Source organism: Homo sapiens, chromosome 17 (assembly GCF_000001405.40).
Source record: "Homo sapiens chromosome 17, GRCh38.p14 Primary Assembly".
Classification (NCBI taxonomy): Eukaryota; Metazoa; Chordata; class Mammalia; order Primates; family Hominidae; genus Homo; species Homo sapiens.
Genome location: NC_000017.11, coordinates 1,215,718 through 1,233,404, shown reverse-complemented (window position 1 = coordinate 1,233,404; position 17,687 = coordinate 1,215,718). Strand labels below are relative to the sequence as shown.

Here is a 17,687-nt window from a genome sequence, read left to right as displayed (position 1 = left end):
AGAAAGAAAGAGGCCGGGCGCGGTGGGTCACGCCTGTCATCCCAGCACTTTGGGAGGCCGAGGCGGGCGGATCACGAGGTCAGGAGATCGAGACCATCCTGGCTAACACGGTGAAACCCCGTCTCTACTAAACATACAAAAAATTTAGCCGGGCGTGGTGGTGGGCGCCTGTAGTCCCAGCTACTTGGGAGGCTGAGACAGGAGAATGGCGTGAACCTGGGAGGCGGAGCTTGCAGTGAGCCGAGATCGCGTCACTGCACTCCAGCCTGGACGACAGAGTGAGATTCTGTCTCAAAAAAAAAAAAAAAAAGGAAAAGAATAAACAAAGAAGGAAGAGGGATATTAGTAAAATGAGTAAACACAGACTTTGGCAAGAAAGGAAATTCTTTCTTGGAGTTGACGTGTGGGAAGCAAATGTGCCCCAGTCCGGAGTGATTCAGGACAGGAGAGCCCAGCAGGAGGCAAGGAGGGGGTTCATGCATCTGTCTGTTTGTTCGTTCGTTCATTTCTTTCCTTCAACAATTATCAGTCATCTCTATACCACACTCTGCGAGAAGGTGTCGGAATACAAAAATGAAAAAAGACACAATCTCTGCACTTGAGGGGTTCTTAGAGTAGGGGAAACAGAAGGTCTCACTGGTAACTACAATAAAGTGGAGTCCAATGCAGTGCCTCACGCCCGTAATCCCAGCACAGTGGGAGGCCAGGGCAGGCCGATTGCTTGAGCCCAGGAGTTCCAGAGCATCCTGGGCAACAGTGAGACCCCCATCTCTGCGAAAAATACAAAAATTAGCCAGGCATGATGCCACATGCCTGTAGTCCCAGCTACTCCGCAGGCTGAGGAGGGAGGATGGCTTCCGCCCAGGGGGTCCAGGCTGCAGTGAGCAGTAATTGCACCGCTACCCTACAGGTGGAATCCCCAGTGGCTCATGCTGGTAATCCCAGCACTTGGGGAGGCAGAGAGGGTGGACTGCTTGAGCCCAGGAGTTCAAGAGGAGCCTGGGCAACATGAGATGATGGGGGCAACAGCAGTGAGCACGACTTTGAGATAGTGGATTTTTTTGTCTTTTTGGGGGATTTTTTTTTTTTTTTTGAGACAGAGTCTCGCTCTGTCACCCAGGCTGGAGCGCAATGGCGTGATCTTTGCTCACTGCAGCCTCCACCTCTTGGGTTCAAGCCATTCTCCTGCCTCAGCCTCCCTTGGGAGTAGCTGAGATTACAGGCACCCGCCACCACACCCGATTAATTTTTGTGTTTTTAGTAGAGACGGGATTTCATCATGTTGGCCAGGCTGGTCTTGAAATCCTGAGCTTAGGTCATCCACCTGCCTCGGCCTCCCAAAGTGCTGGGATTACAGGTGTGAGCCACCGCAACTGGCCGAGATGGTGGATTTGAAATTTGTTCCATTTGCTCATGGCCCCCTGCCGTTTCAGGGAGTGAGATGAGATGGAGAAGCCGTTGCCTCTCTACAGGAAAAGAAACAAAAAAAGGTGGAACAAGGGCAAACAAAGATAAAAGGCAGGCATGAGATCCAATGCTGATACAAACAAGGGCGAGGAGGGGCTGAAAAGGTTCATCAGAGGGGGAGGTCCCCAGGCAGCGGGGACTTTTGCAAGCGTGTAGGGAGAGATGAGAAGTTCCAAGGAAAAGGAAAAGGGTGTGAGGTCTTTGGGGCCAGCTTTGAGCTGGCAAGGCTAAATTATAGGAAGAAGGCAGCGACGTGGGCAGAGACCAGATGTGGGAGGACTTCCTGCGTCAGGCCAAGGAGTCTGGACTCCACCCTGTACGCGACGGGAGCCAAGAAAGGGCGCAAACACATGGCACATTTGTGGTTAAGAAACATCTTCCTTGCTTCCTTGTAGCCTTGAGGAATGAATTAAGGGGCTGGAAAAGTGGGACCAGGACGGCCTGTGCCCATGGTTCAGGTGAGAGCCGGGTGGGTGGCAGGGGCTATGGAGAAGGTGGCTGAGTTTAGCTCTAGTCCCCAAAAGGTGCTGTGGGGAGGAAGAATTTCCAGCTGCCAAGTCAGCCTCTTAGATCAATTTCTTTGTTTTCTTTCTTTTTTTTATTTTTATTTTTTGAGATGGAGTCTCACTCTTGTCGCCCAGGCTGGAGTGCAGTGGTGTGATCTTGGCTCGCTGCAACCTCCGCCTCCCAGGTTCAAGCAATTCTGTTGCCTCAGCCTCCCGAGTAGCTGGGATTACAGGCGTCTGCCACCACGCCCGGCTAATTTTTGTATTTTTGTAGAGACACGGTTTCCCCATGTTGGCCAGGCTGGTCTCGAACTCCTGACCTCAGGTGATCCGCCCACCTCGGCCTCCCAAAGTGCTGGGATTACAGGCGTGAGCCACCGCGCCCGGCCTCTTAGATCAATTTCTTCATGCTTAAAATGAAGGAAACGTGAATCATTGATAAGGTGTCCCCTCTTTAAGAAAGCACGAGATGGTTTATCAGGGCCTCTCTTCGCAGGCAGTGGAGCCTCATCCACAACCCTGGAAAAGAACTGGAAAGCCTTGCTCAGCCAGGTGCGGAGGGCAGGGCCACGTGGGACCCCCGTCTCCAGGCCCCCTCTCCAGCTCCCGTTTCTTTCTTTCTTTTTTTTTGAGATGGAGTTTCGCTCTTGTTGTCTAGGCTGGAGTGCAATGGCGCAATCTCGGCTCACCGCAACCTCCGCCTCCCGGGTTCAAGCGATTCTCCTGCCTCAGCCTCCCGAGTAGCTGGGATTACAGCCATGTGCCACCACGCCCGGCTAATTTTGTATTTTTAGTACAGACGCGGTTTCTCCATGTTGGTCAGGCTGGTCTCGAACTCCGGACCTCAGGTGACCCGCCCACCTCGGCCTCCCAAAGTGCTGGGATTACAGGCGTGGGCCACCGCGCCCGGCCCAGCTCCCATTTCTCGTCCTCCCCAGGGGAAGTGTCTGAGGCCGCAAAGAGGAGATGGAACGGGGGGGATCCTCGTAGACACCCACGCGGACCCTCCGCCAGGCCGCGGCCCCTGCAGCCACGGTTGGACTCAGTCCCCGGGGAGTCCAGCTTTGAGGTCCCGGGCGCCTCCAGCTAGAGCCGCTTGGCTCAGTCATCCTTGGGTGTTTTTCCCGGAAGAGCTTCAGTGAGAAGAGGAGAGAAGCTTACAGGGGCCGACAGAACCCCGAAGCGTTACCCCCGGATTTGGACTAAACTGCTCCGTGATCTTCGTCACGTGAGTTTAAGGCACGATCGCGCCACTGTGCCCCAGCCTGGGCGACAGAGCGAGACCTGGCCTCAAAAAAGGAAAATCAATCAATCAGTCAATCAATCAATCAATCATCAATCAATCAATCCATCAATCCCGGCGCAGGGCGACCCCGCGGGTCCGCAGTGGCACCAGCCACGCCGCCCTCAGCCCCCACGTCTTCCCCCGGCCCGGCAGGAGGGTGTCCGGGGCCCCGCGCTCGGGTGCAGGGAGCGGGGCCGACAGGGGAGCGGGGCGGGCGGGGTCCGGGGCCGGGATCGGGGCGGGCGGCGAAGGCTCGAGTCCAGGCCCCGCAGCTCCCGCCCTCCCCCGGCGGCTCCGCGGCCCGAGCTGGCTGTGGGATGCCCGGGGCGGGTTCTCATCCCCGGGGCGCCCGCCCCCGCCGCGAGGAGCCGCCGACGTCAGGGAGGCGAAACCCAGGAGGGGAAGAAAAGAGGAAGAAGACGGGGAGGAGGCGCGAGGGCGGAAGGGGACACTTGACTTTCCCTCTGGTCTCTTCGGGGGCCGCGGGGAAGGGTCGGCGCGGACGGAGCTCGGGGCATGTGGGACCCCCGCGCGTTCGAGCGGCGCTGGCGGGCCGAGTTCCCCGGGGCGGAGGCGCCGGTCCCGAGGCTGGAGTCGGTGCGGGACGCGGAGCGGGAGCTGGAGCGCCGCAGACTCAACCTGGAGCGGCTGCAACAGGTGCTGGCGGAGGAGCAGCTCAAAGCCTCGCTCCCGCAGGCCGCGCTGGCCCGGGGCGGCGGCGGAGACTCCGGGGAGCCCGGGCGCCCCGACCCCGAGGCCGAGTCTCCCCGCGGGGACCCCGGGCGCCCCGACCCCGAGGCCGAGTCTCCCCGCGGGGACCTGCCCGCCGGGCCCGGGGCGGCCGGAGAAGCCGGCGGGGGAAGGAGCTGGGCCGACGCCGTCCACCGGCAGCTCCTGCAGCCCCAGCTGCGGTTCCGGGCCCGGGAGGACGACGCGCCCCTCGGGGACCCCCAGGCGGCTCCCGGCACGGACGAGGGGGGCGACGGCGGCGACCACGACTTCGAGATGGTGGATTTCAACGAGAAGTTCATCCTCAGCCACTGGCTGGTGGCCCCTTGCCGGTTCGGGACCCGCGAGCGGGCGCGCAGCCCCCGCCGCTGGATGCACCTGATCCCCGGGGGGCGGCGGCCGCAGCGGGGGACCCGCGACCTGGAGCAGCGGGAGGCCGAGGCCAAGGGCCGCCCGGGCTCGCCCCTCGCCGCGGAGGAGACCCCCGGGCGCGAGCACCTGCCCCCGTGGCGGCGCCGCAGGTTCCTGCGGGTGCCCGAGCGGGACTCGCCCGGCCACAGCTCGCCGGAGAGAGACAGCGACGGCAGCCGGCACAGCTCCGACCGCGAGGACGACTTCTCCGCAGGTGGGCGCCCCCCCCAGACCCCGCTCGACCCCGCCGCGCGCCCCCCACCCCGGGCTGCCGGGACCCCTTCCCGGCCGACTCCGCGGCCCTGTTTAACCTCGAGCTCGGGGCCGGGGAGCGGGCGGGAAGGAGGGTGAGCTGCGCCCGTGTACCCCAAAGCCACCTGTGGAGCTTAGAAAACACGTGCAAGGCGACGTTAAGCTCGGGCGACTCTATGAAAATGAACTGGCGGCGGCGGCAGGGCCGGCGCCCGGGCCTTTGCGCTTTGCGCTCCGTGGCCCTGACATCCCCCAGCCCCTCCCTCCGGCCTGGCCCCCGCCAGATCCCTTGGCGCCACCGGGTGCTGTCACCCTTCTGTCTGTCACCCCTCTCTGCACACACCCCAGGGGCTTCCCATCTCCCGGAAATCCCCGATCCTTCTGAGCTCCGCTTTCCTAACCGCGGAAGGCCGAACCTTCCACTCCATTTTCTGAACTTAGTCTCCTCTTCTCCAGGCTGCTCTGTGTGTTGGGGCCACGTGCAAACTTCAGGGAAGGGCCACGGCCCTCACCAGCCCCCTCTGCGGACTCGTTTTCTTCTTAGAAGGCGGCGCCCGGCCTCTTGGCTTTCTAGGAGTCTGGGAGCAAGAGGGCAAGGGGAGGCTTAGGCCCATCTCGTTTTCCGGCTGGCCTGGTGCCCAGAGACCATGTCTAGTCCAGCGTCTTCACTGGATAAAAGAGGAAACCGAAGCTCAGAAAGATTAAGTGCTCGTTGGGGTGAGCTGAGACCTTCACCGGGTCTCCTGTCATCTCTCTCCCCTCGCATCTGCTCTCTTTTCTGAGGACAGGGCCTGATCTTAGTCATCTTTGAACCCCCTTCTGGTAGTATGCACGGTGCTTTGCAGCAGTCAAAGCTCAACGCATAATGGCTGAATAAATGATTGCCTGGAATTGAGCGTCCACCGAGCTCTTTCTAGGTCAGGGAGTGGGAATGGGGCTAAGGAGGAGAGGTCAGGTGGGGATGGGGGTGGCGTGGGAGCCCTTTGCTGTGTCTGTGAACTGTCACGGTCTCCTCAGCCACGCGGAAAGCAGCACACTGGTGGTGTCCGGTTGGGTCAAGCTGCAACCAGGAATTTAAGATGCCTTCCTGCTCAGTGAAGGAGGAAAAAAAATCATTGATGCTGGGATTGTTCCAAAATCTCCATTATTAGATTTTATCTGGATGAGTTTGCATTTGAATGAAAAACTGTCCACTTTGCTAAAAGCACAGTTGGAAGGTCCATCAAGTCATCTGTTTTGATCAATTACACTTATTCCTTAGCAAAGATTGGCTGTGTTTCCCACAGGCAATGCTCTTGCCGCCCATGCTGGTAACATTTTTATATGTCTCTTTAACTTAAGGGAAGAGCCTGAAGATTTCACCCTAGTGCCAAGTTCCAAATGCCCTTGGTGGAGGCTACCCAACTGGCCCCAGCTGCTTCAGAGCTGGCTGCAATCCTGTCTCCCCCCAGACCCACATCTGTCACCCTCCCCGGGGTGCCCAGTACACTAGGCTTTTCCCAGGGAGTGATTTTTATTTCTGTGAGTCGTCGCCTGTCTCCCTTAGGACACTCTAGCACATAGGGCACCTTGATGCACGTTAGAAATCGGCGCTGCCCCTGGGAATTGCAAAAGATGCTCCCCTCTGGGTGGACCAATGATAACAAGAGTCACCTTCCTCAGGACTACAGACGTGAGCTGGGGCACGTGTCTGGCACTCACGGCTTTGGCTAGTGATGCCTGGGCTAGATTTCAGGTGCCATTCCAGCCCCCTCTGCAGGGCAAGCTCCTGTGGCACACTGCACAGCTACATGTTCGGGTTCTGCCTCTGTCTCCAAAGCCTCCTCGTGAGGAAGTGAGTGGGGGGTGGACTTGCACTTGGTTACATGCATGCACACATAAATGCATAGCAGCACATGTATATACATGGTACACTGCCACATACATGCATGCACACATATACACACACACCTGCACACGTATACACATGGTACACTGTCACATGCATGCACACACACGCACAGCAGCACATGTATATACGTGACACACTGCCACATACATGCATGCACACACACACACCTGCACATGTAAACACATGGCATACTGTCACATACATACATGCACACATTCACACCTTCACATGTACATACATGCACACACACCTGCATATGTACATGTGCACAGTGCCACATAAATGCATGCACACACATACCTGCACACCTGCACACGTATGTACATGGCACACTGTCACATACATGCATGCACACACATGCACACCTACACGTATACACATGGCACAGTGCCACATACATGCATGCACACACATACACACCTGCACACGTATATACATGGCACACTGCCACATACATGCATACACAGACACCTGCACATGTACATACATGTGCACACTGCCACATACATGTGTGCACACACAATCTAGGAGAAAGAGCCCTCAAGCATACAGGGAGGCATTAGAGTGGAGCGATTAAGGGAAGGCGTTTTCGCACTGTGGGAAACAGCTCATTGAAATTAGTGCAGTTGGCAACAGAAGCACCCGGGCGGTCTTCCTTGGCCACCCTTGTCCTTTGTTGCTTCATTTTTCTCTACAGCATTCCCCAAATTACCACCGTGGATGCTGCAATTTTGCATGTGGGTCTTATTCACTGTCTCCCTCCAGTCAAACGCAAGCTCCAGGCAGGCAGGGGTTTTTCTCTCTCAAGATGAGTGCATTGGACACGGCGAGTATTATTCTGTTTTTGGACTCCGTTTCGGTTCTATGCGGACGCGTATGTGTACACTGGGAGCTGATGTAGAATGTATTTCTTGCTGTGAGATGAACAAAAAGGTTTGAAAACACGGAATTAAACCATGTTTCTGAAGCTAGACTGCCTGTGTGACATTGGGAGAAGTTATTTGACTTTTCTGAGCCTGAGTCCCCTCATCTGTAAACTGAGGCTAATAAGCACCTCTTCTCTCCTGCTGTTGATATGAGAAATAAATGGGTCATATTTCTAAAGCGTTTTGGACGGGTCCTGGCACGTAGGAAGCACCCATAAGTGTTAATTAACCACTACTACAGGTCATTTTTCTTTGAGTTGCTTCTTCTTTCTTTTTCTTTTTTGTCGAGACAGAGTCCCGCTCTGTCACCTAGACTGGAGTGCAGTGGCGTCATCTCGGGTCACTGCAACCCCTGCCTCCTGGGTTCAAGTGATTCTCCTGCCTCAGCCTCCTGAGTAGCTGGGATGACAAGAGTGTGCCACTACGCCTGGCTAATTTTTGTATTTTAGATGAGATGGGGTTTCACCATATTGGCCGGGCTGGTCTTGAACTCCTGACCTCAGGTGATCCGCCTGTCTCGGCCTCCCAAAGTGCTAGGATTACAGGCCTGAGCCACTGTGCCCAGCTGAGTTGCTTCCTCAGAGCTTCCCACTCCCCAGTCATTCTGGATCGCAGATGGTTTGGTTTTCCGTGGTGCATGTGGCTGGTACAATGGCTCACACCTGTAATTCTAGCACTTTGGGAGGCTGAGGTGGGAGGACTGCTTGAGGCTGGGAATTTGAGACCAGCCTGGGCGATACAGTGAGACCCCATTTCTTTCTTTCTTTTCTTTTCTTTTTTTTTTTTTTTGAGATGGAGTCTCACGGTGTTGCCCAGGCTGGAGTGCAGTGGTGCCATCTGGGCTCCCTGCAAGCTCTGCCTCCTGGGTTCACACCATTCTCCTGCCTCAGCCTCCTGAGTAGCTGGGACTACAGGTGCCCGCCACCACGCCTGTCTAATTTTTTGTATTTTTAGTAGAGACAGGGTTTCACCGTGTTAGCCAGGATGATCTCGATCTCCTGACTTTGTGATCCGCCCATCTCAGCCTCCCAAAGTGCTGGGATTACAGGCGTGAGCCACCGCACCCGGTGAGACCCCATTTCTAAGAAAAAAAGAATCAGTCAGTTGTGGTGGTGTGAACCTATAGTCCCAGCTACTCAGGAGGCTGAAGTGGGAGGATCACTTGAACCCAGGAGGTCGAGGCTTCAGTGAGCTATGATTGTGCCACTGCACTCCAGCCTGGGTGACAGAGCGAGTCCCTGTCTCTAAAAAATATGAATGAATAAGATACGTGTTTCCCCCTCCCAGCAAGGCTCTGACTCTTTCTAGAACCTTTCAGGCAGCAGGGCAGGACTCAAGGCAGAGGTCATCTTGGCTCATGAGTCTCTTTTTGCTGGATTGGCCTCCACCAGCAATCACACTCATTATCTGCATTCAGAGGTCCTTAAGGTCAGGTTTTATTGGGCAATCCAGGCTTTGCCTTAGTCTCAGGGTTTCAGAGAGAGAACACGTGAGGCCTCACCTACAGAGGCCCAGAAGCAGAGGTGAAAAGGGCCTCCATTTCCTTTTAGATGAGGGGCAGATTCCTAAGCCAAAACACATTTCGGCTTTTTTGTCCGCGCACGATAGCAACATCAGAGTGTAAATAAGTTAGTCTGCCAATTCGCTTAGTATCTTCCTTCTAGTACCTTGTAGCCTTGCTTGGTACCAGGAAAGACAAAGACCAGGCCGTGTTGGTGTGGTGAGGAGTGAGGGGACGGGCAGAGCCAGGATCAGCTGTGTTGGGTGGTGCGTGCTGTGAAGTCAGGCCTGCCTCTCCCCAGGTGTGAGACCACCGGCCAGCCACTGACCCTTCCAAGCCTCCGTCTCTGACAGATGGGAATAATAAACGTCGCTAACCCTAAGGGCTTACTTTTGCCAGCTCCTGTTCTGAGCACTTCGTATGCTTTAATTCATGGATTCCACAGAGCACCTTCGGGAGACAGGCACTGATAGGGTTTGGCTCTGTATCCCCACCCAAATCTCATCTCGAATTGTCATCCCCACGTGTCGAGGGAGGGACCTGGTGGGAGGCGACTGGATCATGGGGCGGTTTCCCCCGGGCTGTTGTCCTGATCACGAGGGGAGTTCTCATGAGATCTGGTGGTTTTAAAGCGTTTGGAAGTTTCCCCCGCAGGCTTGCTTGCTCTCCTGCCGCCTTGTGAAGAAGGTGGTTGCTTTTCCTTTGCCTTCCGCGGTGATTGTAAGTTTCCTGAGGCCTCCCCAGCCTTGGGGAACTGTGAGTCAATTAAACCTCTTTCCTTTATAAATTACCCAGTCTCGGGTAGTTCTTTACAGCAGTGTGAACACGGACAAATACAGGTGCTGTTATTATTTCCATTTTCCATGAGAATCACGAGGCCTGGAGAACTTCAATAACATTGCCCATGGTCACCCAGCTTATAAGTAGCCCTTAGGATTTGAAGCCAGGCAGTCTGGCTTCCAGGTCCATGCTTTCGCACACCAAGCTGTACCGCCTCAAATATTAGTACTTCCCTCTCAGGATAGTTACGAAGATTAAATGCAAGAGAATAATTAAAGAGTGTAGCAGAACACCTGGCGTAGAGTGACGATGGAGGGTATTCGTGTCTCTGTGTGTGTGTGTGTGTGTGTGTTGTTACTGATTTTTTGTTTGTTTGAGATGGAGTCTTCTGAGTAGCTGAGATTACTGGTGCCCGCCACCAAGCCCGGCTAATTTTTATATTATTTATTTTTTTGAGATGGAGTATGGCTCTTGTCACCCCGGCTGGTGTGTAATGGCAAGATCTCGGCTCACTGCAACCTCCGCCTCCTGAGTTCAAGCAATTCTCCAGCCTCAGCCCCCCGAGTAGCTGGGATTACAGGTGCCCGCCACCACACCCGGTTACTTTTTGTATTTTTAGTAGAGACGGGGTTTCGCCATGTTGTCCAGGCTGGTCTTGAACTCGTGACCTCAGGTGATCTGCCTGACTCGGACTCCCAAAGTGCTGGGATTACAGGTGTAAGCCACTGTCCCTGGCCTATTTTATTTTAAGACAGGGTCTTACTCTGTTGCCCAAGCTGGAGTGCAGTGGCATGAACACAGCTCACTGCAGCCTCCACCTCCTAGGCTCAAGCGATCCTCCCACCTCAGCCTCCCATGTAGCTGGAACTATAGGCACATGCCACGAGCCGGCTAATTTTTAATTTTTTGTAGAGACGGGGTCTCACTATGTTCCCCAGGCTCGTCTAGAACTCCCGGGCTCAAGTGATCCTCGCTCCTTGGCCTCCACAAGTGCTGAGATTACAGATATGAGCCACCACACTTGGCCCTGAGACTTTTTATTTTTAATCTTTATGGGAAATGAATTTCCTACTAAGTAGTCATGTTACCTGAACCTGATTCATCTGTAACCTGATGGGTTTTCTGCCCTTCCCATCAGTGACTAATGAGATTGTTGCTCTAGGAAGAATTCCTTGTGTTCAGTGGATGTCTGAGTAACTTAATTTGAAGGATTGAATTTTCAGCCTCAGCTGTGATAGAGTAATTTTTTCCCATCCCTATTGTGAAGAGATATTAAGAAGCCATTTGAGGCCGGGCGCGGTGGCTCACGTACGCCTGTAATCCCAGCACTTTGGGAGGCCGAGGTGGGTGGATCACTTGAGGTCAGGAGTTCGAGACCAGCCTGGCCAACATGGTGAAACCCCGTCTCTACTAAAAATACAAAAATTATCCGGGCAGAGTGGCACATACCTGTAATCCCAGCTACTTGGGAGGCTGAGGCAGGAGAATTGCTTGAACCCGGGAGGCAGAGGTTGCAGTGAGCCGAGATCACGACTCTGCACTCCAGCTTGGTGACAGGGTGAAACTCCGTCTCAGAAAAAAAGATGGGATCCTCCATGGTGCTGTTATCGTTACTCTTCCTCGATGGTGTCTTTATTGTTGCTGTTATAAGTCCAGGAATTTTCAGTTGGCTAAACCAGGCTACTGCTTATATTTGAATCTCTCCAGGTAATAAAGTTTCCCAAGCTTATTTGTTTGCCTTTCTCTCCTTTTTTACTTACCGCTGTCCCTACTCCAGAGGTGTTTTGCATCTTCAGAGGAAGACAACCTTTCCAGGTCCCCTGGGGTCCCTGATGCTTCCCCGTCAAGCCCTGTCTCTCTTGGCGTCTGCAAAGCCACCATCTGGCTTCTTATATTCTGTTTTCTACGCAGATCCTTTCTGCCATTGCTCATTCCATCCGGCGTCTTTTCCCGTGCCCTTTCTGGCGTTTGAAGAGCCCTCCCGCCTTGACTTCCCCAAACCAGCCCCCAAACCAACCCCTCCTTTAAGGGCTGATTTTCCGTGGAACCTGGGATTGGTCGATAGGGGTTTGCTGTATATGACAAAACTGAAAAAAAGTAGCTTAAACAAGATAGAGGCTTATTTATCTCACATGTAACAGAATTCCAGCGGCCAGCAGTCCGGCCGAGAGTATGGTGACTCCATGATCATCAGGAATGGAGGCTTTTCAGTCTTTCTGCTTCTCTGTCCTCAAGCTCACCTCCTGGTCCGAAATAGCTGCTGGAGATCCAGCCATCACATTCACATTTCAGGCAGGAATTAGAAGAATGGGAAGAGGAGCGTAAGAGTGAGTGGTGGCTGTTTGTCTGCCTTTTAAGGCACTTTCCTGGGAACCTCTCTTGACAGTTTCTGTTTTTATCTCCTTAGTCACCTCGAGGTATAAGAGAGGCTGGGAAATGCAGTATTTTATCTGGGTGTATGGCCACCTCAAGTAAAATAGGGGCTCTGTTACAAGGAAAAATAGAAGAATTGATATTGCGTAGGCAGCTAGTGGCCTCTGGCACAGCCTTTTCCAACGACTCCAACCCATCTTGCGGTTCTTAGAGCGGGCCCCACACGGCACAATTGTCTTATTATTATGCCATCTATTAATTTATTGAGTCAGTAAACAAATAACAACGGAGCCACGGCCCTGTGCAAGGCAGTAGCCTTTTACATGTTTACTGTGAAGAGCTGCTCTCAAACTGAGTGGTTAGCTGACTCCTGGAAAGCGGGGACCGTCGTTTAGACCCCTTTTCTCTCCCACAACAGTATCTTTCACAGGGCTGGGCTCATGGCCGGCACTCGATAAGTTCCTGGTTGATTTTAGAATAGTCACGAATGAGAAGTTCAGTGAAAAAAATACATTCCCTGCCTTGGTTTACTGTGCTGGAAAATGCTGGTTGTGTAAGGTTCGTTTTTAGCTTGTTCTGGTTTTGAGGAACCCATTGCAAGGAGGGTGGGGAGTGGGTCACCTCCAAACATCAGGGCTGTGTTGTAGTCACAGGGACTCGTCGTCCAGGTGTTGGGGCAGATTTGGCTGTTTTGGAAACTGGGCTCTGTATACCATACTAGAATCATAAGCAGAAATCCCCGTGACCACCTGACTTTGCACCACCGCTCTGTGTAGCTGTATTTACACCACGTGAGTCTGTCCTGTTATTTCTGCACCGCGTAGCTGCAGAGTAAATCTGCAAGTCTTTCCGCAGCGATCCTGTTCCTGTCTTCCCATTCGACGCTCGCTACAGTCGGCCTGAGATAACACTGTCTGAGGGGAGGCTGCCTGGACCTCACGTCGCGTTTTTCAACTGCTGAGAAAAATGATTACTTTAAATTTTTTTTTTTTTTAGACGGAGTCTCGCTCTGTCGCCCAGGCTGGAGTGCAGTGGTGTGATCTTGGTTCACTGCAAGCTCTGCCTCCGGGATCCACACCATTCTCCTGTCTCAGCCTCCCGAGTAGCTGGGACCACAGGCGCCCGCCACCACGCCCGGCTAATTTTTTGTATTTTGAGTAGAGATGGGATTTCACCATGTTGGCCAGGCTGGTGTCGATCTCCTGACCTCGTGATCCGCCCGCCTCCGCCTCCCAAAGTGCTGTGATTACAGGCGTGAGCCACCGCGCCCGGCCACTTTAAAATTTTTATTGACACAGAGCTGGGAAGGAACTAGAGTATAAAGATACTCCAGTACCTACTCTCTGCAAAGCACTAGGTCAAGTGCTTTACCTACGCTGTCACGTTGAATTTTTAGAACAGCCTCCTATTGGGCAGATGGGGAGACTGAGGCTCTGACTGGTCCACCAGCAAGCCCAAGATCTCTTAGTGCTAAGTGGTGGGGTTATTCTTTCCTCAGTTTTAAAAATCAATTATTTTATTTTATTTTTTTGGGGCATGGAGTCTCGCTGTGTCGCCCAGGCTGGAGTGCAGTGGGGCAATCCCGGCTCACTGTAACCTCCGCCTCCTGGGTTCAAGCAATTCTCCTGCCTCAGCCTCCTGAGTAGCTGGGATTACAGGCGAGGGCCACTGTGCCTGGCTAACTTTTGTATTAGTCTGAGATTTTAATGGGAGGCTGGTCACATAGGCACATCGTGCTATACAACCAGCCATGGCAAGAAAAAATAAGGACCGCAAAAATGAAATAAATCCAGATGCACATCATCAGTCTTGACGGCTTATGCAAAGGAAAATGATCAGCCTTACAGGATGGTTCATTGCTGCAGGTGCAAGGTTATTAAATCACTAACATAGTGAGAAGGATCCTCCTTGTCACCCATGAGCCAGGTGTGTGAGGCCATGGCTGGGCGTGGTGGCTCACACCTGTAATCCCAGCACTTTGGGAGGCCAAGGCAGGCGGACCATTTGAGCTCAGGAGTTTGAGACCTGCCTGGTCAACATGGTGAAACCCCATCTCTACTAAAAAAAACAAAAATTATCCAGGCGTGGTGGCAGGCACCTGTAATCCCAGCTACTCGAGAGGCTGAGGCAGGATAATTGCCTGAACCCAGGAGGCAGAGGTTGCAGTGAGCCGAGATCGCGCCACTGCACTCCAGCCTGGACAACAGAGTGAGACTCTGTTACAAACAAACAAACAAACAAACAAACAGATAGAAAAGGATACTAGAATTAAGCACCATGCAAACCTATTGTGTTCCTGATGTCATTGACCTAGTAGTATATTAACTTCATTTGTGAGGGTGGAAGGCCTAAAGATCTGATTGCTCAGCTCTCTGAAAAACGCGATTTCCTTGGGGATTTTGCACATTTGGAATGTATAAGGAATTCAGAGAAGTCTAGAAGTACACTGCAGTTTTCCAAGGTCTCTGTTCACTGGACTTGGGGGCCCATCTTGGTGACCTACTCATCACTTACAGCATTATTTCAAATCATAAAGAACAGACTCATCGGCCAAAGTTTGAAATCGTCCATTTGTAATTTGGGGACAGCTGACTATAATGAGATGGTTTTGGCATGCCGAATGTTGAGCAGAAGTGTAGGTTACACACATACTTTAATCAGTATGTTCCCATGAGACTAAGGATCATTCTTCTCATTCTATATTAACAAGTCTAGAGACATTGAGTCACTGGTCTGTAGTCACACAGCTCACAAAGGACAGAGCCAGGATTGGAACACAGCTCTTTCTGGGGCCAAAGTTATTCTCTACTCCAGCTCACCACTAACTGTTAACCTCTCCAGACTATAGCTTTTCACTTTAAAATAAGGTGACTGGACTAGATAATTTTCCCGACAGACCTAAATTTTATGGACGCCAGTAAGTTAAATGAGCTGGGACTACGTACCAAGTAAGGTTAAGAGCCTGGCTTTGAATCAGAGAAACTGGGTTTGGATCCAGGCTGTAGCCACTTGTTATTTTGTGTCCTTAACCAAGTTAATTCACCTGTCTATAAGCTTATTTTCTTTTCTATACAATGGGGATCATTGTACCTCACTTGGTGTTGCAAAGGTTAAATGAAATAATGTAGCATGGGGTCCGGCATGTGGTGAGCTCCGTATAAATGAAAACAGCTACTGGTGTGATGATCAAGAGCATGCTGTCCGAGGTAGCGGATTACTTGAAGTCAGGAGTTCGAGGCCAGCCTGGCCAACATGGTGAAACCCCGTCTCCACTAAAAATACAAAAATTAGTCGGGCGTGGTAGCACGTTCCTGTAATGCCAGCACTTTGGGAGGCCGAGGCGGGCGGATCACCTGAGGTCAGGAGTTCAAGACCAGCCTGGCCAACATGGTGAAACCCCGTCTCTGCTAAAAATACAAAAATTAGCTGAGCATGGTGGCACGTGCCTGTAATCCCAGCTACTCAGGAGGCTGAGGCAGGAGAATCGCTTGAACCTGGGAGGTGGAGGTTGCAGTGAACTGAGATTGCACCACTGCACTCCAGCCTGGGCCACAGAGCAAGACTCCGTCTCAAAAAAACAAAACAAAATAAATAAGAGCACGCTGTCTAGGACCACATTGCCTGGGTTCGATTCACGGCTCTGCCACTTAACTGCTATGTGACCTTGAGCAAATTCCTCAACCTTTTTGCACCTCAGTGTTTATATTTGTAGGCTAGGGGACGATGATAATATAATATCAATAGTCAAGTAAGTTGGCGTGAAGGTTAAATAAGTCAATATGTATATAACATACCTTGAACCAGACCTGACACATGGTAACCACTCAGTACGTGTTGGTTAATTTTATGATTATCCCCACTGTTACTAGTTTGGCCATGCTTCTTGCTGAAATAGACTATAAAGGTGAAACATGGTATCTTGCTCATCTTGTTGCCTGGTCATAACCTTAATTGAAACTGAAAATCCTGTAATTTGAATAATCCAAGAGCTGGAACAGCGAAGCATCCAATTACAGACGCGTCACGGCTGCAGCCTTGGGGGGGACGGTGAGGCGGCCGCACTGTGCTCTGGGGTTGGGGTCCTATTACGGAGAAAGCCTCGTTTTGTAGGCAGCTGCCTCGCCTTCTGTTTGGCTGCATAATTGCGCCTTTCCGTTTTATTTTAAAGCATCTTGAGGAATCCAGAGCCCACTCCTGCTGACAGCAGGGAAAGCCGCCGCATGTCCCATCTCTAATGAGCCTCCATGATGCTCTGTGGCCCCACCTAGGCAGCAGGCTGGGCTGGCATCCGCTGGCTCTCTGAGCACAGCTCACCATGCTGGGCTTCATTATGGGGCTCCCTGAACACCCCTAGGATCCCCCCACGCCTGTCCTCATTGTCTCAGAGGGCACAGAGTGGCTTCCTGAATGCCGAGCTTGTTGGTAACCTTTGTGGGCTGGCAGTGAGCACGCAGAAATTAATTATTCATATCAATGGGCTGAAGGAGCTGTTGTTCACTGAGGTGACTCCCCTTTGGCCACCAGACCCAGAGTTCCCCAGGGTCTTTAGACAGGCAGAGGACAGCGCAGTCCTTAGAGACAGCTGCAACAGCAGGGTGGCACGTGGCCGGCCCCAGGCTAAGTGCAGTCTGCTGATGTGCTTTGTTTGGGCTACAGAGGGTTAAAACAAAATTGGATCCATTTAAAACCAGGTTTTACCTAGCAATCTGGATTTCTGGATTTTCTTGAAAGATGGGAAGATGGGCAATGTGAATGGGAGGCATTAGTTAGAGCCGACGGGCCCCTTCAGGCTGGACGTGATTTTGCCAATGGCGTCAGCTTTCCTCTGGCCCCTTTCTCCACTTCTGACGTGAGAGGAGTGAGTCTAGTGCAGGGAACAGAGGAAGACTCGGAGCTGGGTTTGCGGCTGCCTCTGCTACTCACTCCTGCGTGACTCTAGGCAAATGACACAGCCCCTGTGGGCCCCGCTCTCCTCCTCTGGAGCAGGGGGTTATAACAGCTTCCCTACCTCGCAGATTTGTGAGAACTGAGCAAGTTGATATAAGGGCTGAGCCTGGCACATAGTAAGTTCTATTTAGGTGTTCAGTTTCTTTCTTTTTTTTTTTAGTATTTATTGATCATTCTTGGGTGTTTCTCGGAGAGGGGGATTTGGCAGGGTCATAGGACAATAGTGGAGGGAAGGTCAGCAGATAAACAAGTGAACAAAGGTCTCTGGTTTTCCTAGGCAGAGGACCCTGCGGCCTTCCGCAGTGTTTGTGTCCCTGGGTACTTGAGATTAGGGATTGGTGATGACTCTTAACGAGCACGCTGCCTTCAAGCATCTGTTTAACAAAGCACATCTTGCACCGCCCTTAATCCATTTACCCTGAGTGGACACAGCACATGTTTCAGAGAGCACGGGGGTTGGGGGTAAGGTCACAGATCAACAGGATCCCAAGGCAGAAGATTTTCTCCCAGTACAGAACAAAATGGAGTCTCCTATGTCCACCTCTTTCTACACAGACACAGCAACAATCCGATTTCTCCTTCTTTTCCCCACATTTCCCCCTTTTCTATTCGACAAAAC

The 17,687-nt window shown here is 52.6% G+C and overlaps 1 protein-coding gene across 2 annotated transcripts in view, besides 10 other annotated features; it reads left to right on the top strand.

Moving 5' to 3' along the window:
- Nucleotides 2,978-3,037: an enhancer, noted in NCBI's record as "active region_11448". NCBI's record gives its function as "activates an Ori minimal core promoter by ATAC-STARR-seq in GM12878 lymphoblastoid cells {active_cell/tissue: GM12878}" and the evidence as "EXISTENCE:reporter gene assay evidence [ECO:0000049][PMID:35858748]".
- Nucleotides 3,318-3,797: a silencer, noted in NCBI's record as "silent region_7949". NCBI's record gives its function as "represses an Ori minimal core promoter by ATAC-STARR-seq in GM12878 lymphoblastoid cells {active_cell/tissue: GM12878}" and the evidence as "EXISTENCE:reporter gene assay evidence [ECO:0000049][PMID:35858748]".
- The window catches only part of ABR (ABR activator of RhoGEF and GTPase), a 226,204-nt gene continuing 212,199 nt past the window's right edge, over nucleotides 3,683-17,687 (top strand). Inside the window, exons 1-2 of one of the 2 annotated variants that reach the window (NM_001322842.2) lie at nucleotides 3,683-4,612; nucleotides 5,107-7,514. In NM_001322842.2, the coding sequence (NP_001309771.1) occupies nucleotides 3,775-4,612; nucleotides 5,107-5,258 (990 nt within the window). In that variant the 5' untranslated portion in view covers nucleotides 3,683-3,774 and the 3' untranslated portion in view covers nucleotides 5,259-7,514. Of the gene's footprint in view, nucleotides 4,613-5,106; nucleotides 7,515-17,687 lie in introns of those variants that run through there. The other variant, NM_001322841.2, reaches the window with a different exon arrangement.
- Nucleotides 3,818-3,947: a silencer, noted in NCBI's record as "silent region_7948". NCBI's record gives its function as "represses an Ori minimal core promoter by ATAC-STARR-seq in GM12878 lymphoblastoid cells {active_cell/tissue: GM12878}" and the evidence as "EXISTENCE:reporter gene assay evidence [ECO:0000049][PMID:35858748]".
- Nucleotides 4,108-4,812: an enhancer, noted in NCBI's record as "H3K27ac-H3K4me1 hESC enhancer chr17:1131887-1132591 (GRCh37/hg19 assembly coordinates)". NCBI's record gives its function as "activates a minimal SCP1, AML or CMV promoter by ChIP-STARR-seq in naive H9 embryonic stem cells {active_cell/tissue: H9 hESC(naive)}" and the evidence as "EXISTENCE:reporter gene assay evidence [ECO:0000049][PMID:30033119]".
- Nucleotides 4,108-4,857: a biological region, named in NCBI's record as "H3K27ac-H3K4me1 hESC enhancer GRCh37_chr17:1131887-1132591".
- Nucleotides 4,438-4,497: a silencer, noted in NCBI's record as "silent region_7947". NCBI's record gives its function as "represses an Ori minimal core promoter by ATAC-STARR-seq in GM12878 lymphoblastoid cells {active_cell/tissue: GM12878}" and the evidence as "EXISTENCE:reporter gene assay evidence [ECO:0000049][PMID:35858748]".
- Nucleotides 4,588-4,857: a silencer, noted in NCBI's record as "silent region_7946". NCBI's record gives its function as "represses an Ori minimal core promoter by ATAC-STARR-seq in GM12878 lymphoblastoid cells {active_cell/tissue: GM12878}" and the evidence as "EXISTENCE:reporter gene assay evidence [ECO:0000049][PMID:35858748]".
- Nucleotides 4,968-5,177: an enhancer, noted in NCBI's record as "active region_11447". NCBI's record gives its function as "activates an Ori minimal core promoter by ATAC-STARR-seq in GM12878 lymphoblastoid cells {active_cell/tissue: GM12878}" and the evidence as "EXISTENCE:reporter gene assay evidence [ECO:0000049][PMID:35858748]".
- Nucleotides 12,717-13,216: an enhancer, noted in NCBI's record as "H3K4me1 hESC enhancer chr17:1123483-1123982 (GRCh37/hg19 assembly coordinates)". NCBI's record gives its function as "activates a minimal SCP1, AML or CMV promoter by ChIP-STARR-seq in primed H9 embryonic stem cells {active_cell/tissue: H9 hESC(primed)}" and the evidence as "EXISTENCE:reporter gene assay evidence [ECO:0000049][PMID:30033119]".
- Nucleotides 16,061-17,058: an enhancer, noted in NCBI's record as "H3K4me1 hESC enhancer chr17:1119641-1120638 (GRCh37/hg19 assembly coordinates)". NCBI's record gives its function as "activates a minimal SCP1, AML or CMV promoter by ChIP-STARR-seq in primed H9 embryonic stem cells {active_cell/tissue: H9 hESC(primed)}" and the evidence as "EXISTENCE:reporter gene assay evidence [ECO:0000049][PMID:30033119]".